Raw genomic sequence first — 21,075 nt, 5'->3', positions numbered from 1 at the left:
AGTGAGTGAATGAGTGAGTGAGTGAGTGAACGAGTGAGTGAGTGAGTGAGTGAACGAGTGAGTGAGTGAGTGAATGAGTGAACGAGTGAGTGAATGAGTGAGTGAGTGAATGAGTGAGTGAATGAGTGAGTGAGTGAATGAGTGAGTGAATGAGTGAGTGAGTGAATGAGTGAGTGAGTGAGCAAATGAGTGAGTGAGTGAACGAGCAAATGAGTGAGTGAGTGAACGAGCGAATGAGTGAGTGAGTGAGTGAATGAGTGAGTGAGGGAATGAGTGAATGAATGAGGGAATGAGTGAATGAGTGAGTGAGTGAATGAGTGAGCGAATAAGTGAGTGAGTGAACGAGTGAGTGAGGGAATGAGTGAGTGAGTGAACGAGTGAGTGAGTGAGTGAATGAGGGAATGAGTGAATGAGTGAGTGAGTGAATGAGTGAGCAAATAAGTGAGTGAGTGAACGAGTGAGTGAGGGAATGAGTGAGTGAGTGAACGAGTGAGTGAGTGAGTGAATGAGTGAGTGAACGAGTGAGTGAGTGAATGAGTGAGTGAACGAGTGAGTGAGTGAATGAGTGAGTGAATGAGTGAGTGAGTGAGTGAACGAGTGAGTGAGTGAGTGAGTGAACGAGTGAGTGAGTGAGTGAATGAGTGAACGAGTGAGTGAGTGAGTGAATGAGTGAGTGAACGAGTGAGTGAGTGAGTAAGTGAACGAGTGAATGAGTGAATGAGTGAGTGAATGAGTGAATGAATGAGGGAATAAGTGAGTGAATGAGTGAGTGAGTGAATGAGTCAGGGAGTGAGTGAGAGAATGAGTGAGGGAATGAGTGAGGGAATGAGTGAGTGAGGGAATGAGTGAGTGAGTGAATGAGTCAGGGAGTGAGAGAGAATGAGTGAGGGAATGAGTGAGTGAGTGAATGAGCAAGTGAGTGAATGAGTGGGTGAGTGAATGAATGAGTGAGTAAATGAGTGAGTGAATGAATGAGCGAAGGAGTGAATGAGTGAGTGAATGAGTGAATGAGTGAGTGAATGAGTGAGTGAGTGAGTGATTGAGTGAAGGAGTGAGTGAATGAGTGAGCGAGCGAGTGACTGAGTGAAGGAGAGGTAGGGGTGAGGGAGGGGAGGCCCAGGCAGGGGCGGGTATTCCCAGCAGGATGTGCTACCTTCTAAGCGGGTCTTGGGTTGGGCCCCAGAGGCTGCAGGTGAGCGCAGGGGAAGAGCACTGCCTGCAGGAGGCTCACCCTGCTGGAGGTCCCGGTTTGAGGCTGAAGCCTCAAACGGTCTGGGGGCCTGGCCGAAGGCAGAGCTGGGCAGACACCATCCCTGCCCTGCCAGGGCTGCCCTGGGCCCCAGGTGGCTCAACACAGCTGGGAACTGAAGGAGGCACCTGGATTTTGAGGGAGACAAACTGCGTGGGTCCTGTCTGAACAGGCTCATTTCAGCACCCAGTGTGTGGGGCAGGGCCCCCATCCCCGGCCATGCTCAGTGGCCAGAATGAGCCCTGAATCGGAGCTAAAGGCAGAGGTGAGGGTCCCAGAGACCCCACATCTCCTTCGGAGGCCAGGCGCCTGGCCCCAGTGTGGAGCTCCAAGCCCCTCCCCCAGCGCCCAGCCACATCCCCTGGGAGGACCAGGGGCCCTGTGATGTGGGGCCACCACCCTCCCCCTGACCCCTGGCATTCAGCCAGGTGGGAGAAGGCCAGCTTGTTCCTCCTGTGGTGCCCCGCCCACATGTCCCTCCCCAGGCTGGGGTGGGCGCAGCCTCATTGGAGCAAACAGTTCCTTCCTTCTTGCCCGTGACTGGGGTCTCAATGTTTCCCTTGCCTCCCATGGGTCCCCCTCACTTTCCCACAAGCACTTATGGCATAAAAATAACTTCTTTGGGAATGGCAGTCCCTGCTGGGCTCATGTGGGCCCCCAGCCTCGGGGACCTCTGACTACAGGCCCCGCCCCAGGCCAGGCCCCTGAACGTTGCTGGGTGGGGAGAGTGCTCCCCAACAGAGCTTCCCGGCTGGGCTTCCTGAGAAGCTGCCTGGTCCAGGCTGCAAACTTGCAGGTGAAGGTCTGCCCCACGGACCCCGGGGAGTGGGATGGGAGGGCGGCCCCTTCCAGCCTCTTCCTTGTCACATTTTACACTCCAGGTTGATGGTGTTCTCAGGGGACATGGCTTGGGACTGACAGCCTCACCCTGTCACTTTGAATCTTCCCGCTATTGTGAATCAGAGTCCCACAGACACAGCCTCCCGCCAGGAAATCAGGGTTCCCCAGCGCAGGGCTCCTGGGCCACAGCGGTGGGGGCGCCCGGCGGCTCGACTGCTGCACCACAGCGGGCTCAGGTTGTATCTGGCTTTTCAGAGAACGTCCCTGCCTCGAAGTTCTCATCACTCAGGAAGAGAAATAGCTAGCCAGCTAGCCCCGGTGTGGGGAGGGGCCCAGAGCCTGGCTCATGCCCCGAGGCCACCCCCACACCCCACCCTCTGGGCCTCAGTGTCCCCCGGCCGTGTTTGTGGGGATTTCAGCAGGAGGTGCTGTCTGGGTGTTTGGTATCCGGGAGGTGCCAGGCCAGCAGCGCAGCGCGATGACTGCATGGTCACGATAGGGATGCCTACGTGCCACACACTCCCATGCTGGAACCGTCAGAGCTGGCTGGTTTCCACCTGTCCAAAACCATCTTAACCAAAGCCCGCGTTCTTGCGCAGATTTACCTCCAGTTTATGGGATTACTTCTTTAGATGCAATCAGCATTTTCTGGAAGACTGGGAACACTTACGGGTCTTTTTTTTTTTTTTTTTTTTTTTTTGAAATGGAGTCTCGCTCTGTCGCCCAGGCTGGAGTGCAGTGGCGCGATCTCGGCTCACTGCAAGCTCCGCCTCCCGGGCTCATGCCATTCTCCTGCCTCAGCCTCCTGAGTAGCTGGGACTACAGGCACCCGCAACCACGCCCGGCTAATTTTTTTGTATTTTTAGTAGAGACGGGGTTTCACCGTGTTAGTCAGGATGGTCTCGATCTCCTGACCTCGTGATCCACCCACCTCAGCCTCCCAAAGTGCTGGGATTACAGGCGTGAGCCACCGCACCCGGCCTTACACTTATGGGTCTTGAAGTCAAAGGAGCCCGCGGTGATGCCGCCAGCACCTGGGGTTTGTCCGAGCCCCGCAGCTCCTCCGGCCCTGGAGCCTGGGCGCTGCTCGCTGGGATCTCTGATCCAGTCTCGCCTCTTTTTGTGTCCATCCGCAGACAAATACCTGTTACGTTCTAGGTGCTGAGGACACAGCGTGAGAGAGAAAAGGACAGACACCTCCTTCTTCCTGGAGCCTGGATGGGGCCGACAGGCACGGGGGAAGCCTCAGCCACTGTCTACTCAGATTTCCACACGCCACTGCCAAGTGGCCTCCTGTTCTCTGTGTCTGTGCCTCCTCTTCTACCTCTTAGAAGGACACCTGTCACTGGATTTAGGGCCCTTCCAGGTACTCCAGGATAATATCATCTGCTGGAGATCCCTACCTCGATCACAACTGCGAAGACCCTAATTCCAAGTAAGTTTCCAGCTGGGCTTTGCGGCGGCTCACACCTGAAATCCCAGCACTGTGGGAGGCCGAGGCGGGCGGATCACTTGAGGTCAGGAGTTCAAGACCAGCCTGGCCAATGTGGTGAAACCCCGTCTCTACTAAAAATACCAAAATTAGCCGGGTGTGGCGGTGGATGCCTGTAATCCCAGCTACTCAGGAAGCTGAGGCATGAGAATCGCTTGAACCCGGGAGGCGGAGGTTGCAGTGAGCCGAGATCGTGCCACTGCACTGCAGCTTGGGGGATAGAGTGAGAGTCTGTCTCCAAAAACAAACAAACAAACAAACAAAAAAACAAGTTTCCATCTGCACATCTGCAGGTTCCGGGACTTGGGAGGTGGACATGGCTCTTGGGGGCCACCATTCACCATTTGGCTCACTGCTCTGGGGAACAAAGGCCCCCAGTTACTCAAGGGGAGTGAGGGGAGTTCCCAGCAGAGCGCTGTGAGCCAAGGGTGGGAGGCCAAGAGGCAGGGACCACTGTGTCCTCTGGAGTGGACGAGGGGGCACTGAGGAGTGGATGAGGGTGTGGCCCTCCTGACAGCCCAGCCTCCGCTGGAAGTGGGGACCCGAGTCCCGGGCTCTGCCCTCTCCTGCCACCCCACAGGGCCTAGGCCAGCCTTGCCACGACCCTAAATCTTCTCGCTACTCCTGCCCTCACCTCAGCCTCTCCGGAGACAGCCTCCTCACCACTACCCTGGCCCAAGTGGGGAAAGCCCCACCACCCTGGGCTCCCAGGATGAGTCAGTTCCCCTCTCCTTGCCAGGCCCAGCTGGCAGTGAGGTCCTTGGCCTGGCACAGCACCTCATGTGCAAACACGGCTTGATGAACGGGCAGGAATGAAGCTTTGGGAGGGAGACTGAACGAGGAGAGAGAGAAGCATGTGGTGGTGAAAATGGAGGGAAGGCAGGGGGCTGGCAGGGGGCTGGCAGGGGGCTGGCAGGGGGCTGGGTGCAGCCCCAGATCTTGTGGAGTCCGGGCCCCAGGCTGGGCAGGCTGGGCAGGCTGGGCCCGCGGCACCTGTTTTTGCACACAAGGCCTGCCCTGACAAGGTGTCCTCTGCCGGATCCCGGGTGACTGTGCCTGTTGGGGGTCCTGCCAGGCCACCCGGTCACCTCCACACCCTGTTATGTCTCTGCAAGCATCGGTGTGTGACAGCGACTGGCAGAGCTGGGCAGGCAGGAGGCCTCTGTCTGGACCCTCAGCCTCTGCCTCGGCTCCTCTTCCAGGTGGCTGGACTTGCTCCCTGATACCCCCAACCTGCAGACACGCGGCCTTGGATTCAAGTGGGGCTGGGCTCCTCGGCCTCTGCCAGGCCACCCCACCCTCCCCCAGCTCCCAGCAGAGGCCAGCAGCCAAAACACTGCAGGCCAGCAGAGCTGGAGATCAGCAGACCCCAGAGGTGTAGACCTCCCGGCTCCAGACCTGGTCCTCCCCGCCCCGCTGGTGGTGCGGCCTCAGGCCAGTCCACTGCCTCTCCGCGCCTTGCCCTTCTCGCCAGGACTCAGGCCCAGCCTTACGAGAGAGGGTAAAACCAGACAACAACGGCAGGTCCTCCACCTGCACCTGGCCCCTCGGACTCCACCTACACCCGGCCCCTCGGAGGTGCCCAATAAACTCCGGTGCTGACGGTTGTGCCTGACACCCCCTGTCTCCTTTTGTGATCTTCCACAGATCACGCTGCTGCTTTGTGCCTCAGTTTCCCCATCTGTACCACAGGGGGCTGGATCAGACATCGCTGAGATCTTTGTAGAGCAGCACAGCTCCGTTGCTGATGTTCTAAGTAACCAAATTGTGTCCCGGACGCTGAGGTGTAACAGCCTTATCAGGGCCGGGCGCGGTGGCTCAGGCCTGTAATCCCGGCACTTTGGGAGGCTGAGGTGGGTGGATCACCTGAGGTCAGGAGTTCAAGACCAGTCTGGCCAAGATGGTGAAACCCCATCTCCATTAAAAATACAAAAATTAGCCAGGCGTGGTGGTGCATGTCTGTAATCCCAGCTACTCAGGAGGCTGTGGCAGGAGAATTGCTTGAACTGAGGAGGCAGAGGTTGCAGTGAGCCGAGATCACACCACTGCACTCCAGCCTGGGTGACAGAGCGAGACTCTGTCTCAAAACAAACAAACAAACAAAACAAAACAAAACAAAAAGCTGCCTCATGAGGACAGACTCGGCCGAGCAGTGGCAGAGCGAGGCCTGTTCACAGATGGGTGTTAGGAAAGGGAGGATGTGGCCCGGCGCGGTGGCTGACGCCTGTAATCCCAGAACTTTGGGAGGCCGAGGCGGGCGGATTACCTGAAGTCAGGAGTTTAAGACCAGCCTGGCCAGCATGGTGAAACCCCGCCTCTACTCAAAAACTACAAAAATTAGCCAGGCATGGTGGTGGCGCATGGCTGTAATCCCAGCTACTTGGAAGGCTGAGGCAGGAGAATCACTTGAACCTGGGAGGCGGAGGTTACAGTGCGCTGAGATCGCGCCACTGCACTCCAGACTGGGCAACAAGAGCGAAACTCCGTCTCAAGAAAAAACAAAACAAAACAAAAAAATCCCCACAGTGGTTAAAACAGAGTGATACTGGCACAAGAATAGGCACGAAGACCAACGGCGCCGAGTCCAGAAACAGACTCAAACAGATAAGGAATGTGGCATGTGACAAAGACAGAATGTCAAATCAGTGATAAAAACAGATCATTCAAAAACCCCTCCACACCTGGGAAGCCGGGGAGCCATCCAGAAAAAATAAAGTTGAATGTCTCACACCTCATACCAAAATAAATTTCAGATGGATCTGAGATTTCAATGTAAAAAATAAAACCACAAAGTCTAGAAAGCAACAGAAGATGCATCTTTAGAAGCTTGAGGCGAGACCTTCCTAAGCATGATGCAAAATACAAAAATCCAACACATAAATTTTTAAAAATAAATTCAATTCCATAGGCTGGGCGCGATGGCTTATGCCTGTAATCCCAGAACTTTAAGAGACCGAGGCGGGTGGACGTTTGAGTTCAGGAGTTTGAGACCAGCCTGGGCAACATGGAGAAACCCTGTTTTTACAAAAAAAAAAAAAAAAGCAAAAATTAGCTGGGCGTGATGGCACATGCCTGCGGTTTCAGTTACCCAGGAGGCTGAGGTGGGAGGATCGCTTGAGCTCAGGAGGCAGAGGCTGCAGTGAGCCGTGATCACACCACTGCCCTCCAGCCTGGGGACACAGCAAGACTCGGCCTCAAATACATAAATAAATGAATTCAACTCCATAAAATAAAATTTCTGCGTAGCAACAACCACATTAAGCAAAGTCAAAGTCTGCTGTTTAGGCAAGCGGGGAAATTCCTTGTGAACTCTATCCCCCTCGAAGGGCTGAATTCTCTCATTTAGAAAGAGCTCTAACAAATCAATAATGAGGTTATAATCCAGCACAGGGAAAAAATGGAAAGCAAAGAATACGAACAGAGCATTCACACGAAAGGAAAAACAAATGCTCCATAAACATGCAAAAAGATGCTCCCCCACTCTTTTTTTTTTTTGTATGTGTGAGACAGAGTCTCGCTCTGTCCCCCAGGCTGGAGTGCAGTGGTGCGATCTCAGCTCACTGCCACCTCCAACTCTCGGGTTCAAGCGATTCTCCTGTCTCAGCCTCCCAAGTAGCTGGGATGACAGGTGTGTGGCACCGTGCCCGGCTAGTTTTTGTATTTTTAGTAGAGATGGGGCCGCGCCATGTTGGCCAGGCTGGTCTTGAACTCCTGACTTCAGGTGATCTGCCTGCCTCGGCCTCCCAAGTGCTGGGATTTCAGGCGTGAGCCGCCGCGCCTGGTCCTCCACCTCCTTCTTGGTGAGAGAAATGCAAACTAAAACGGCACTGACAGCGTGTTTCCTATCAGGTTGGCCATGGCTTTGATTACATGGTGTTGTCTGCACCGGGAGGAGGCAGGGACCAGCAAGTGTTGTAAGTGGTTGCACTCCCTACAGAGGGCAACTCGGAAAAATCTCTCAGAAGGACGAATCCTTTGACCCTGCTTCGAGGAAGTCGTGCTGCCTGTGGTGATCTTGGGGACGAGGTCATTGCAGCGCAGCTCCTTAGCTTCTCAGGAAAAACCTACATACTCATCGCTGGCCTGTGCACGCCACACAGCACAGCAGAATATTCGACGAGCAAAGAAAAGACCGAGGAAGGAGGTTTTCGGGCTGTGATAAGGGACTGTCTCTAAGTTCCACGTTGCAGGTGAGAAGGGAGCCGTGCCCACTGGTGTCCAGAGCTGGTGAGAGAGCGCAGAGCGGGGCGGAACGCAGAGACAGGTGCCCAGGGCAGGTGGAAACTCAGCATGCCTGCAGGGCCTCATGGGGAAGGGCCCACCGGTTGCTTATTCACTCATCCCACACTGCTGCACTGGGCAGACAGAGCTCAACCCTGCAAGGTAGGCCCTGTGCTCTCAAACTCAGACCTTGGCAGAGGGACAGGGTGACAAGCTGTGGGTGATGACAATTTCCTGTGACAAGGGCAATGCTGTGAGGGGCCAGACCCAGAGGAGGCTGCACTGAGCTGGAGGGAAGGGAGTGGACCACGCTGAGGCGGGAGGTCCGACAAGCCAGCCCCCTCCACCCGAAGGGAGTTCCCAGGGTCTGAGCTTCAGGTCCAGAGATGCGGGAGGGACAGGGAGGTGGGACAGCCCCTCCCTCCGGCCTGGGCTGGGGCAGCTTCCAGGGCCGCGTTTCTGGGGACGCTGGCCTCATTCATCAGTGTCTTATGTGCATGGCCCTTCATCTCTGGGTACACCCGCCCTGCAGAAAGGCACTGGCTCTGTCTCTGCCTCCTGGCTATGCTGCCCTTCCCCAGAGGGAAGGACAATGGGGGTAGAGAGGAGGTGGGAAAGTCTGGCGGGGACCATTGTGTGAGGCCCTGCATGTTTGCATAGTGAGTGCCTTGACTGCTGAATGGACACAGGCATCCCAAGAATGCTGGCAGAGCCCACCAAGGGGCCGGCCCCGCACCCCCAAGCCTCTGACGCTTGCTGTCACTCGAGCCTGTCAGCACAGAGGGTAGGGAGAGATGAGACTGGCCAGGTTTAAGCACCAAGTAGGAGTCATCAAGAGCTGCCAAGCACAGTGGTGCCGGTTGTAAACTGCACAATTCCCGGGAGTGCCATTGACCTGGGTGGCTACAACTGCCAGCAACCCTGTAGCCACTCTGTTGGCCTCAGTGGTCTCAGCAGTAAAATGGCACAGGAGACCCCGTCCTGAGAAGGTATCTGCTTTCAGCCCAAGGTGGGGAGGGCGTGGGGGAGATGGGAAGCTGAGATGGGGCAGAAGGGGACAGAGGAAGGGAGGAAATCCACTAAGGACGTGAGAAGGGCGAGGCCTCCTGACCGACAGGCCGAAGGCCATGTGGGCGGCTGCATGGGGTCCATCGTGCAGACCTTCACTCTGGGCCAGCGCTGGGGCTGTGAGCTCGGCCAGCGTGGGGAGACTGCCAGCAGCTCAGAAGTCCCTGCGGGCTCCTAGGACCTGGTTCCTGTTCCCTCCAAGGCCTTTCAGATTCCCCAGCAAACCCCACAGGACAGCAGGGAAGGGCCAGGGTGGAGGGGACTGCAGGGACTTGAGCTGTCCACACGGGGAGGAGGAACCCGGGGGAGGCTGCCCCGGCCTACATTTGAAGCCATGGCCTTCACTCCAGGAACCCCAGCTCACTCAGAAATGGGACTAGGAAGGGCTGTTCTCAGTGGGGACAGCCAGGAAGGACCAAGTGGGGAATATCCCTGAAGCCCCCACACTGCCCTTCAGCCCCCTAGAATGTTGGCTCTTTGGATCCTCACCGAGGGCGTGGCGCGGTGTGGTGGCTGAGGCCGCCTGGGACTGACCCCAGCTCTGAGTGTCGGGGCTCTGTGTCTCTGTCTCTGTGTCTGTCTCTCTGTCTGTGAAACTGGGGAGGTGGTAACGACTCCCTGTGTCTCCGTCTGTGAAACTGGGGAGGTGGTAACGACTCCCAGGGCGTGGGAGGTGAGCGGCCGATAAACGTCAGAAGGAGAGGCCGGCCCAGAGTCAGCACCACGGCTCCCGGGCTCCCAGGAGACGCACACCAGGCAGAAGGAACTGTGTGCGAAGGCCGGGAGGTGGGACCTGTCCGGGGGTGACGGCAGGCGAGGGAGGGGAGGGTTGTGGGGGCCTCAGGAGGACAAAGGAGGGAAGAGGCCAGGACCTAGGGGAAAGGAGGCCAGGGCAGCCAGGAGGCCCTGGGCACAGGGGTCTGTCCCCTGTCTGTCCCAGCCGTGGGGCGTCGTGCTGTCCTGGAAGCAGGTTTTCTGTGGAGGCTGTGGAGAGGCTGGGGAGTGGGTGAGGGCCCTACCCTTCCCTTTGTCCCTGGCCCCGGCAGCCAGGCACTGAGAACCAGCATACCGGCCGGGGCCAGGGGATTGGCCAGGGCCCCCAGAGGCCCGGGAGCTGCTCATTCCCCAGCTCGGGGTGGGCAGCTCTTCCCTTCCATCTCGGGGTGGGGCAGTGCCAGCCCACTGGCCCCCTGGGGGACAGGGCGAAGGGCTCCAGCAGGGCCACCCAGCAAGGGAAGGAGAGATGTGCAGGGGGCACCAAAAAGTCTGGGGAAAATGGGGGTCAGTCCTGGTGAGGGAGGCCAGAGGACAAAAGGGCGGGGCAGACAATGATCCCGGGCTGGGGACCGGGGCCTGACTGCCCAGCCTGGTTGATAGTTCAGGAGGTCTGCACATCTCGGGCACAGCCTAGCAAAACCTGGGGGTAGCAGCAGGGCTAGGGACTGGGGACCCGAGTCAGAGGTCCAGAGACGCTGTGTCTGTGGCAAGAACCTCTCGCTGACCTGGTGTGACCCTGGCGTGACTGTGTCAGGTGCCATGGTGACTGCACGCCCAGCCAGGGCCAAGGGTCTGCTCTAAGCTCGCTGCCTATGCCCTGTGTGGGGTGCCCTCCCCTCCTCTCTGTTCTGGGCTGCTCTGAGCCTCCCATCCCACAGGCCTGGGAAGGCAGGAGGGCGCCAGCAGCACCTGGGCAGAAGTCACCTCTCCCCTCCGCTTGCCCAAGCCAATGCCACCTGCTGTCAGGCCCAGGGATGCAGGGTCGGGCCAAGAGAGGGCTGAGAGCAAGCAGGGGACCCCCACCCAAACAATACACACACACATAGAGACACATGTACACACAAACACAGTGCACACAGACACACTTGCACACACAATGCACACATGTACACACAGACACACACACGTGCACGCATGCTCCAACAGATGCACACACCAGTACACACACAGAGACACACACATGCACACACCAGTACAGAGACACACATGCACACACCAGTACACACACAGAGACACAGACATGCACACATGCACACAGACACACGTGCACACACGTGCACACAGACACACACACATGCACACATGCTCCAACGGATGCACACACCAGTACACACAGAGACACACACATACACACACCACTACACACACAGAGACACATGCACACAGACACATGCACGCACAGATACATGCACACACCAGTACACACACAGAGACACACACATGCACACACAGATACACACAGGCACACACCAGTATACACACAGACACATGCACACACAGAGACACACAGGCACAGATGCACTCAGAGACACACACGCACACACAGATGCATGCACACACACGTACACGCAAACACACGCATGCACACACACAAACACGTGCACACACATGCGCATACAGACATATGCACACACAGATACACACGTGCATGCAGACACTTGCACACACACACGTACACACAAACACATGCACACACAAACACATGTGCACAGACACACAAGTGCACACACAGAGGCACACATACAGCCCTGGACAGTCAACAGGAACCTGGGCTTGGTGTCGAGTGGGTGAAAGCCCCCACATGCTCTGGGCTCCCCCAACCCCCCTGAGAGTTGGTCATCACCTGCGAGGTGGGGCAGGGAGGAGTCCGTGGAGGTGAGGGTAGGGCTGCCGGGGGATTTATCTTGCAGGGAGAAGGGGTGAGGGCTGGGGAGGTTCTCTGAAGAGGCGGCTGAAGTGAGAGCAGCGGCCTGGAGGAGGGAAGGGGCTTGAACATGGTGACCAAACAGTGCAGGGGCCGGCGCCAGATCTTCCTGGGCCTCCAGCAGGAGGGCCTGGGGCAACCAGGCCAGGACACAGGATGGGGGCTGTGTCACACCCTCCCAGTCCCGGCTGAGGCGGTCACCACAGGGGTCCAGGGCCTGTGCTTACCGTGTTAGACAGGGTTCAAGTGCTAGTTGGGACCTGACAGGAAGCAGAGGCCTCAGCTCAGCCCTGGCCCTGGCTCCAGACCATGCCTGGCCAGCTTCCTGGTCCCTTGCCCGCCCCAGCTCAGAGGAGGGGAACAGAGGCCTGTACCCGGGGTGAGGGGCCGCAGGGACATGGCAGGGGACAGGAGCTATTTGGGGACAGGGTCAGGCCCAGCCTCAGGCCATCAGCCGCCCCGGATGTGGGTGGAGGGCTGTCCCTCCTAAGGAGCTGTGAATGGCCCCACTCAGCCCCCACCACCACCCTCTCCCTCCCTACCCCGCCCATGACTCCTCCAGCCTGTTCCTGCTCTAAGGGTGCCCTCGGGAACACAGGCCCTTGGTCCCCAGAACAAGACCTCTATTTTGGAAGGGGAAACTGAGTCCGGGTGGCTTCTCTGCACTTTCGATTGGCCGTTAGAGACCCGGGTTTGAGCCCCACCCACAGCCTGTGGGCAGATCACCTCCCCTCCAGCTGGGGTGGGGGCTGCCGCCCAGAGAGGGCGACCTGCACCCCTTCTGTTTTTCAAATTGAGTTGAAACTCACATCCATCAAAACCGTACAGCCCCGTGGCATTCGGTGCAGCCGGAGGTCGTGTGGCGCTGCCTCTGACTCCCAAACGTTTTTTAAGGAGCTCCCTACCCGCTAAGGAGCCATCACCCCCTCCCTGGTCCCATCCGCTCTCTGCACCCGGATCCCCGGGCTGGCCTGCTCTGGGCGTCTCATGGCAATGGAATGTGACCGCGTGTGGCCTGGGTGTCTGCTGCCTCACAGAGTACAGGGTTTTCGGGGCTTCTCCGCACGTGGCCTGGGTCAGACTTCGTTCCTGGTCGTTCCCATTCATGCTCAGGGAAGTGCTCAGGTCTGAGGGCCTCTGCCGGTCCCCAGGACCGCCCGGGAGCCAGGGGCTCTTCCAGCCCCCCTGAAGGAAGGAAGCGCTGCCTGGTTTTCAGGAGAGAAGACTGAGGCGCGGCGGGCGAATGGGCTCATCAGCAGTCACAGAGCAGGGCTTCCCCGAGGGTCCTGCCACCCAGCCCCTTCTGAGAGGCGGAGACTGCACTCTCCAGCCTCAGGGGCCTGGTGTGGCCCTGAGCACAGTGAAAGGGACAGAGGCTGCAGCACCTGGGGAAGGGCCGAGGGAGCCCCTCCCACGCATAGCAGCCTGGGGGAGGCCAGCCTGGGCCCATCCCATCCGCTGTGCAGGGTGGAGAAAGACATCTCACCTCGCCTCGTTTGCATCTTATGTAGGTATGGAAATGATTAATGGTGAGAAAAATGTCTGCCGTACCCGGGGCACCTTATAGGCCCGAAATTCACAGGGGGCCGGGCAGACCCTCCCCCCACAGCCCAGGCAGACCCTCCCCCAACAGCCCGGGCAGACCCTCCCCCCCAGCCCTGGCAAAACCTTCCCCCGGGCAGACCCTCCCCACCAGCCCTGGCAAAACCTCCCCCCCCAGCCCTGGCAGACCCTCCCCCCACAGCCCGGGCAGACCCTCCCCCACCAGCCCTGGCATACCCTCCCCCACCCAGCCCGGGCAGACCCTCCCCACCAGCCCTGGCAGACCCTCCCCCCCAGCCCTGGCATACCCTCCCCCCCCCACAGCCCGGGCAGACCTTCCCCCCCCAGCCCTGGCAGACCCTCCCCGCAAGCCCAGGCAGCTCCCTGGGGCTGTAGATCATCCTCGCACTCAAGTCTTCAGTAGAAAGGACAGATTGTTTGCCGGGAGATGTACAAAGCCCAGCCACGGCCACTCCCTGGCCCGGGTCAGTTCCCAGCTGCTCTATCTGGGATGGGTGCCAGTGGCCAGTGTGGGGCATGGGGCTCAGGGCAGCCTGAGGGACAGAAGCCCTGGCCGTCCGCCTTCCCGCATATCTGCCTTTTTCCCGCGTGTCCGCCTTCCCGTGGCTCGCCAGCTTTGGGGTCTGGCAGAGGCTCAGATCCTCTCCCCAGGAGATCTCCCTGGAGTCCCGGGACCTCCTTGGGGCCTGAGTGGCTGCTGGAGTGGTCTGGGCCCCACCGGCCTCTGCCTTTTCCTCACCCGGTCTTTAACGTGGACCCACCTCACAGGGCTGTTGTGATGACGAGTCAGACAAAAGAGAAGCAGAGCCCTCGGCTGCCCAGTCGTTTGCTGTTACCCCTTGCTGCCGTGAGAGCCCACCGGGGACCACCTGTGCACCTGGGGTGCGAAGGCCTCTCCTCGGCCCGCCCTGGTTAGGGGGAGGGCAGAGTGCCGGCCGCACTGAGTCCTGAGTTGCCTTCTGGCCTGGCAGACCCGGCCGCTGCTGGCCAGAGGTGGCTGCGCCCCAGGCCTGGTGCTTCCGGGGTCGGGGTCCAGGGACTCAGCCGAAGGCAGGGGTCCCTTGTCCCCACCCCAGGGCTCTGTGCTCCTTGGGACCCGCTGGCCCTTGGGGGCTCAGGTCCTTGTCCCCCACCTTCCCCATCCAGAGGCCTAGGCCTCACTCCAGTGTCAGCACACGGTGTTGGTGGAGGGGTTCCACCCTCCCCTGATCAGACCCCTGACAACCCGCCCCATCCTGCCTCAGTCTTCATCCCTCCTTGTTCATGGGCACCTGCCACGTCCAGCCCTGTGCCTGGCCTCAAGGGCCTCGCGGGCTCGCAGCAGCCGAGCGGGTGGGAAGGGTGAGCCACATAGATTGGAGAGGGACGGAGGTTCGGGGAATGTGGAGGGAGCATCTGCGGGACTCCCCAGGAGCCACTGACTCTTCCCTCCCCTTTGGGGCTGCGACCCCCACAGCCGGTGTCATTGCTGCATCCCAAAGGCCTGGGGCCTGGAAACCATTCCCAGGACAGCTGGAGCAGGCCCCAAGGGGACTCTCTGCCCATTAGGGAGGGGGTCTGCTGGCCCCAGTGGGAACTGGCTCCTCCCCTGCCACCTACTCACCCCGCCCACTCAGAAACTCAGAGACAGACCTTGGAATCCTGACCCCTGCGGCCTCATGGGGAAAGTCTCTGAGTTGGGGTGAAGATAGAGTCCCATAAATCATATTCATTTTGGTAAGAGGGTCCCCCATAGATCACCATGTGGCCAGGACCGGGGCGGAACCTGGCAGAACCCATACCACCTCTTCCCCTGCAGGACGGCCGGGGTGGCCATGGGGCACCTCCTCCCTCCCACACGCGCAGGTCTCGAATTCACAGCCCTGGTCTGCTTTGCCGGCTGAGAGTCCTTGGCGGCCGACACATCCACGTCTCTACCTCCCATCCCATAATGAGTGTTTCCCACGTTGTTAGAACTTTCCACAGGCATTGCTTTTAACAACTGCACATCATTCAATTAGACAGACGGGATGGTTTTCCCAGCCGGGCCTCCCCTGCATCTGGGCCGGCTCCAGCTTCTCCCGGTTATAAATAACGCGGGCGGGGGCGTCTCCCACGGAAGGTTTTCTGGCTTCGTGCTATTTCCTCGGGATAAACTCCCAGAAGGAGAATCACTAGGTCAAAAATGCGAGCATTTTATGCCTCTTAGGACACACGGTCGTCAGAAGGAATCTGGACTCCATCTGGAACAGAGCGAGGACCCCTCTACAGAGCCGGGACCTTCTCCGGAAAGGAGCTGGGCCTGCATGGCCGTGCACAGATGCCGGGAGTGCGGTGCTCTGTCCACCCAGGACTCCGCTTGCAGGGCCTCACGCTGCATGGCTGACCCAACCCAGGACTGCGCTTGCGGGGCCTCACACTGCCTGGCCCACCCAATTTCAAACAGTTCTCACGCTAGAAGATGCACAAAGCCAGCTTTACATTTTGGGGAATGATTCAGAAGGGCCAGGGACCTGCCGAGACACCTGGGGCTTCTTTGTGGGGCCCCATCAATGGGAGGCGGGGACCCTTGGGTCAGCCCAGACCCTGCTGGGCCTCAGTTTCTCATGCCCAGCTCCAGCCGGGAGCCTGGGCAGGTCCAGAATCACCGCACACGCAGAAGGGCCTCACTAGGACGGGGTGAGAGGTGAGGCTGGGAGCTGGGGCTTCCTCTTGGGAGTCCAGCGGGGCGACTGCCGCCCACGTGTGGGCTCCCTTGAAATTCACAGACACACCCAGCGCGGTTGCTGGCCGCAGTGCTGGCTCAATAAGGCCAGTGGAGTCAGACAGTGAGAAGTCACCATTTCCTGCTGATCTGAAACATCTTGTGAAACCCTCTGGCCCAGCCCTTTCCTTTCTCGTGGCAGCCTCTGGTCCCCTGTGGACTTTCCTGTTTACTGCACCCCAGAGGTGGGCCCTGACCTGGTTGAGCTGGGCTTAGCTGTCAGATTCCATTTTGGGCCTCGGCCCCCAGGTCCCGGCCTGCAGGCAGCTGGGCTGGTCGGGGCCGGCTCCTTCATGCAGCCAGCGCATTAGCTCCAGGCCTGGGGTGCTGCCCGCTGTGCCCCTTCCTGGAAGCCCTCCCTGCCTCTCCAGCGGGAGACAATGCAGCCTCTGGGGCAAGGCAGGAGGCTGCGGGCAGGCTCCAGGGACCTCCTGCCAGGCGTGGCTGCAGGGCGCCCCTCCCAGGTGAGGCTGGCAGCTGCCTCCTGGTCAGGTTCACACCCACCCTCAGCGTGCAACAACCCCCCTCCTCAGCCCCTTCTGCTGTGACCTGGGCTGCTCCTCCCTGCGGTCACTATAGGAGTCCCACGGCCCTGTCCCCAATCCTGCCCTTCTGCCTAGTCCTGGGCCCCTCCCCTTGAGCACTTCCCAAGCTCTGAGCCACAAGCCCGTGGGCCTCTGGAAATCCCAGGGCCTGGGGTATGACGGGGCCAGGGAGGGGGAGATTTGTCCCGGGGCAGCTGCTTTGGGCAGTTCGCTCTCGCATGGAGGGCATGGTCCAGGCCCTGTCGGGTGGGCAGGTGGCCCCACAGCTTTCTGGGCAGGGGTCTTGCCTGCTGGCCTCATGCTGAGCGCACCTGATCAGCCACCCGCTGCGTGTCTCACCATAGCCCCACTGTACAGGTGAGAACATGGAGCTGACTGAGGGAACAGTGTGGACGCAGCAGAGTCGCCTGAGAACCCAGCTCCATGGCCCCCACGCCAGCCACCAAACCCCTCTGTGACCTGAGAAACAGAAACCAGACTCAGCCCGGCAGGTGTCAGACCCTGGTCTGGTTGGTCCGCAGCGGCTCCTGGCTCAGCGCAGGGACTGCCAGGGTCCAGGGGCCCTCAGGGGACTTGTTGAAGCCCAGCTCCTGCCAGGGAGGACAAGAACTCTCTTCTTCCAGGAGTAAACAGAAACGAGGGCCTGGCCCTGGGGTCCTAGGTGCCTCTGACCCCACCAGGAACCTCTGAGTCTCCCGAAGCACCTGCTGGCAGGGTGGGTGCAGCTCAGCATGTGGGAGGACATCGGGTCGCCATTTCCCGATAGAGCCAACAGCCTCTCCTCAATGTGCTGTGCGGCCAGCCTGCCCCAGCTGGCTCTGGACTGAGGAGGTGGGCGCAGGGACTACAGAAGGGTCCATGCTGGTGGGGGGCCCACTGCTGGGCCTAGGCAGGAGAAGGCTCCAGGCCAGAGGCCGCTAGCAGGGCAGACCCCAGCCTAGCCACGCGGGCTGGGAGGAAAGGGGAGGATGCGGCGTCTGCTGTGACAGGCTTTGGGTCAAGGGTCTGCTCTGAGCCCCGAGCTCACCGCCACAGGGGCTTTCCCAGGCTGGCTTGGCAGCGGGCGGGGGCTCAGGGGAGCTCAGGAAGCGGGTGGTTCCCACAGCAGCGGCTCAGGCAGGCGGCCCACACACCCAGCCAGCGGGCTCCCGTGGGAAGGAGACCTGGAGGCCGGGGCTCTCCTCCCGTCTGCTCTAACCTCCTGGACAACCTTCAATGCTGTCCTTCCCTCTCAGGCCTCAGTTTCCCAGTGATCTTGAGGGGTGGTCGCTGGAGGTCAAAAGGGGAAGATGACTGTTCAGTTGCCTTGTAAGCAGTGAACGCTTGCAGAATCACAGCAGCTCCTGGCGTGGCTGGATCCAGGGCTCCGGCAATGCTGCCTGGACTTTGTGTCTGTCCCTCTTTGGGCTCCCTGACCCTGATGTGGGCTCCCTCCCTGGTAATCCCTTCCCACGGTGTGGCAAAGATGGCTCATGTCCCCCAGGTCGGCAACTCCCCTGGAAGATAGGGTCTGCACAGGTCCTAGGCCCCCCTGTTCCAGGCAGCCTGGGCCCAGAAGTCCAAACACGTGGGCAGATGGTTAGGGGAACAGTGGGTCCCCAAACCACAGCTGTCCACTGAAAGTGCTGACCACAAGCCAGGCCCAGGGCCAAGCACCAAGTGCCCACTGAGCCCACCTCATCCCCTCACAGGTGCCAAAAGTGAGTCCATTCCACAGAAGGGCACCCAAGGTGCAGAGCGGAAGTGTCACCTGCCTGAGGTCACCCAGCTTCAGGCAGAGACCAGGTGGATATGAGGATCAAGGATCCCGGTTCCACGGGCTGAATTTCAACTCCTGAGCTCTCCTCGGGCTTCCCCAGTGATTCTGGAGCCCTGCAGGGCAGGAAGCGAGTCCTAATGCCCATCCCAGACCTGCCGCCTCAGTGTCCCTTCCTGCCTTGGGGGGAAAGCTGGGGTGAGGAGGATGCAACAGGGGCAACCGTTGGACCCCAGGGAGAGCCCAAGTCCTGGGCATAAAGCACAGCACATTCATTCCGGAGCTGGGCCTCACCTGGGGCAAATCATATTTTCACTCTAAAACAAATGCAAACTCAATGATTAAGATGAGCTACACACACTGGCTCTAAGGTGAACAATTCAGGAGGGTTTGGTCGCACGCGGCCAGCGTGGGCCCTCAGTAGCGCCTCTGGGTGGAGCTCTCTCGGGAGTCTTCCCTCTCGGCTGTGGGACTCGAGGCGGCCAGGAGAAGCCAGAACTGAGGGCATGCGGTCCACGCAGGAGCACGGGAGCCACGGGCCACGGGGTCCCCTCCTCACAGGAGCCACTGGTCGCGGGCAAGCACTGGGTGGTGGTGGAGTCCCAGATGAGCTCCAGCACTGTCCAGAGAAAACAAGGCTACCGTCCAGCACACGTCCTCACTCACCCCGGCCACGGTGATCTGACCACGGCCACGACCAGGCCACGGGGCCTCCCCACCACTGGGTCAAAGGCTGTTCTCAAGAGACTCAGTGACTTTTGGAGCACAGAGCATCTTGGGTTAGTCTCCTGTCCACTTGGTTCCATCAGCTGAGTTGTGCAGGGGTTCCTGGCCCACCTGGAACGCAGGGCCTTCCTGAGATGCCAAGTACCCTGGGCTACAAGGGAGAGTTCCCGTGGCTGGAGGGCATGGCCACCGGGAGGACGCCACAGAGAAAGTCCCAGGACCGATGCTCTGAAAGCTGACCCAGTGCTGCCTCGGAGGGCCCCGGCTTGACTCACCACCCATCCCCGCACTAAGTCTATGCTGACCCTGGCATGCTGCACCCACCCAACCCTTGTCCTCTGCAGGTCCCAGTCTGGTGGGGCAATGGGCACCGAGTGAAGTTTTAAGAAAATGACTGTGGTTTCCAACCATAATGACGAGCCCAGCAGTCTGGGTTGTGGGGCTTGTGGAAGGCTCCATCAGAGGGTCCTGTGAGCTGAGGAAAGGGATCGAGCTGGACCCCAGGACACACTTCTACCCCTAACTCTGCTCCTAGGGGCTCTAAAAAGTAAAGGAGTGTATTAGGCCATTCTCACACTGCTATAAAGAGCTACCTAAGGGCGGGCGCAGCAGCTCAAGCCTGTAATCCCAGCACTTTGGGAGGCCAAGGCAGGCAGATCACGAGGTCAGGAGCTCGAGACCAGCCCGACCAACATGGTGAAACCCTGTCTCTACTAAAAATACAAAAATTAGCTGGGCATGGTGGCAAGCACCTATAATCCCAGCTACTCAGGAGGCTGAGGCGGGAGAATCGCTTGAACTTGGGAGGTGGAGTTTGCAGTGAGCCGAGATCAAGCTGCTACACTCCAGCCTGGACGACAGAGCAAGACTCTGTCTCAAAAAATAAAAACTACCTGAGACTAGGTAATTTATGAAAAAAGAAGTTTAATTGACACAGTTCTGCAGGCTGTTCAGGAGGCATGGCTGAGGAGGCCTCAGGAAACTTACAATCATGGTGGAAGGCAAAGAGGAAGCAGGCACCATTTTCATATGGCCAGAGCAGGAGAGAGTGCGAAGGGGGAAGTCCATCCCGTGCTTCAATCATGGCCCACCAGGCCACGCCTTCAACATGTGGGGATTACAATTTGACATGAAATTTGGGTGGGGACATAGAACCAAACCATATCATTCCAGCCCTGGCCCCTCCCAAATCTCATGTCCTTCTCACATTTCAAAACACAATCATGCCTTCTCAACAGACCCCCAAATCTTAACCCATTTCAGCATTAACTCAAAAGTCCAAAGTCTCATCTGAGACAAGACAAGTCCCTTCTGCCTATGAGCCTGTAAAATCAAAAACAAGTTACTTACTTCCAAGATACAATGTGGGTACAGGCACTGGGTAAATGCTCCCATTTCAAAAGGGAGAAATTGGCCAAAACAAAGGGCCTACAGGCCCCATGCATGTCCTGAACCCAGTAGGGTAGTCATTAAACGGTTTTTTGTTTTTTTTTTGAGATGAAGTCTTGCTCTTGTCCCCCAGGCTGGAGTGCAATGGCACGACCTCGGCTCACTGCAACCTCCGCCTCCTGGGTTCAAGCAATTCTCTTGCCTCAGCCTCCCGAGTAGCTGGGATTACAGGCACCTGCCACCACGCCCAGCTAATTTTTGTATTTTTAGTAGAAATGGGGTTTCACCACATTGGCCAGGCTGATCTCAAACTCCTGACTTCAAGTGATCTGAAGCAGTCATTAAATCTTAAAGCTCCAAAACAATATCCTTTGACTCCATGTCTCACATCCAGGCCACACTGACTCAAGGGGTGGGATCCCAAGGCCTTGGGCAGCTCCACCCCTCTGGCTCTGCAGGATACAGCCCCCTGTGGCTGCTTTCACAAGCTGGCATTGAGTACCTGTGGCTTTTCCAGGCACACAGTGCAAGCTGTCAGTGGATCTACCATTCTGGGGTCTGGAGGACAGTGGCCCTCTCCTCACTGCTCCACTAGGCAGTGCCCCAGCGGGGACTCTGTGTGGGGGCTCCAACCCCATATTTTCCCTCCGAACTGTTCTAGTAGAGGTTCTCCATGAGGGCTCACCCCCTGCAGCAGACTTCTGTCTGGACATCCAGGCATTTCCATACATCCTCTGAAACCTAGGTGGAGGCTCCAAAACCGTAACGCTTGCTTTCTGCAC

General features: G+C 58.8%; 1 long non-coding RNA gene across 1 annotated transcript, besides 11 other annotated features; it reads left to right on the top strand.

The window, feature by feature from the left end:
* Nucleotides 1,432-1,958: an enhancer, noted in NCBI's record as "H3K27ac-H3K4me1 hESC enhancer chr9:139473242-139473768 (GRCh37/hg19 assembly coordinates)". NCBI's record gives its function as "activates a minimal SCP1, AML or CMV promoter by ChIP-STARR-seq in naive H9 embryonic stem cells {active_cell/tissue: H9 hESC(naive)}" and the evidence as "EXISTENCE:reporter gene assay evidence [ECO:0000049][PMID:30033119]".
* LOC124902311 (uncharacterized) lies at nucleotides 3,071-5,196 on the top strand. Its single transcript, XR_007061866.1, has 2 exons — nucleotides 3,071-3,524; nucleotides 4,784-5,196. It is a non-coding gene; the product is annotated as an uncharacterized LOC124902311 (long non-coding RNA).
* Nucleotides 3,999-4,118: an enhancer, noted in NCBI's record as "active region_29317". NCBI's record gives its function as "activates an Ori minimal core promoter by ATAC-STARR-seq in GM12878 lymphoblastoid cells {active_cell/tissue: GM12878}" and the evidence as "EXISTENCE:reporter gene assay evidence [ECO:0000049][PMID:35858748]".
* Nucleotides 6,781-7,307: an enhancer, noted in NCBI's record as "H3K27ac-H3K4me1 hESC enhancer chr9:139467893-139468419 (GRCh37/hg19 assembly coordinates)". NCBI's record gives its function as "activates a minimal SCP1, AML or CMV promoter by ChIP-STARR-seq in primed H9 embryonic stem cells {active_cell/tissue: H9 hESC(primed)}" and the evidence as "EXISTENCE:reporter gene assay evidence [ECO:0000049][PMID:30033119]".
* Nucleotides 6,781-12,241: a biological region, named in NCBI's record as "VISTA enhancer hs2207".
* Nucleotides 6,853-12,241: an enhancer, noted in NCBI's record as "VISTA enhancer hs2207". NCBI's record gives its function as "enhancer in: neural tube[5/6] | hindbrain (rhombencephalon)[5/6] | midbrain (mesencephalon)[5/6]" and the evidence as "EXISTENCE:transgenic organism evidence [ECO:0001131][PMID:17130149]".
* Nucleotides 7,308-7,834: an enhancer, noted in NCBI's record as "H3K27ac-H3K4me1 hESC enhancer chr9:139467366-139467892 (GRCh37/hg19 assembly coordinates)". NCBI's record gives its function as "activates a minimal SCP1, AML or CMV promoter by ChIP-STARR-seq in primed H9 embryonic stem cells {active_cell/tissue: H9 hESC(primed)}" and the evidence as "EXISTENCE:reporter gene assay evidence [ECO:0000049][PMID:30033119]".
* Nucleotides 7,835-8,361: an enhancer, noted in NCBI's record as "NANOG-H3K27ac-H3K4me1 hESC enhancer chr9:139466839-139467365 (GRCh37/hg19 assembly coordinates)". NCBI's record gives its function as "activates a minimal SCP1, AML or CMV promoter by ChIP-STARR-seq in naive and primed H9 embryonic stem cells {active_cell/tissue: H9 hESC(naive and primed)}" and the evidence as "EXISTENCE:reporter gene assay evidence [ECO:0000049][PMID:30033119]".
* Nucleotides 8,362-8,889: an enhancer, noted in NCBI's record as "NANOG-H3K27ac-H3K4me1 hESC enhancer chr9:139466311-139466838 (GRCh37/hg19 assembly coordinates)". NCBI's record gives its function as "activates a minimal SCP1, AML or CMV promoter by ChIP-STARR-seq in naive H9 embryonic stem cells {active_cell/tissue: H9 hESC(naive)}" and the evidence as "EXISTENCE:reporter gene assay evidence [ECO:0000049][PMID:30033119]".
* Nucleotides 9,416-9,943: an enhancer, noted in NCBI's record as "H3K27ac-H3K4me1 hESC enhancer chr9:139465257-139465784 (GRCh37/hg19 assembly coordinates)". NCBI's record gives its function as "activates a minimal SCP1, AML or CMV promoter by ChIP-STARR-seq in naive H9 embryonic stem cells {active_cell/tissue: H9 hESC(naive)}" and the evidence as "EXISTENCE:reporter gene assay evidence [ECO:0000049][PMID:30033119]".
* Nucleotides 15,412-16,273: an enhancer, noted in NCBI's record as "H3K27ac-H3K4me1 hESC enhancer chr9:139458927-139459788 (GRCh37/hg19 assembly coordinates)". NCBI's record gives its function as "activates a minimal SCP1, AML or CMV promoter by ChIP-STARR-seq in naive H9 embryonic stem cells {active_cell/tissue: H9 hESC(naive)}" and the evidence as "EXISTENCE:reporter gene assay evidence [ECO:0000049][PMID:30033119]".
* Nucleotides 16,274-17,134: an enhancer, noted in NCBI's record as "H3K27ac-H3K4me1 hESC enhancer chr9:139458066-139458926 (GRCh37/hg19 assembly coordinates)". NCBI's record gives its function as "activates a minimal SCP1, AML or CMV promoter by ChIP-STARR-seq in naive H9 embryonic stem cells {active_cell/tissue: H9 hESC(naive)}" and the evidence as "EXISTENCE:reporter gene assay evidence [ECO:0000049][PMID:30033119]".

Source organism: Homo sapiens, chromosome 9 (genome assembly GCF_000001405.40).
Source record: "Homo sapiens chromosome 9, GRCh38.p14 Primary Assembly".
Taxonomy (NCBI): Eukaryota; Metazoa; Chordata; class Mammalia; order Primates; family Hominidae; genus Homo; species Homo sapiens.
This window is presented reverse-complemented; position numbering and strand designations above follow the sequence as displayed.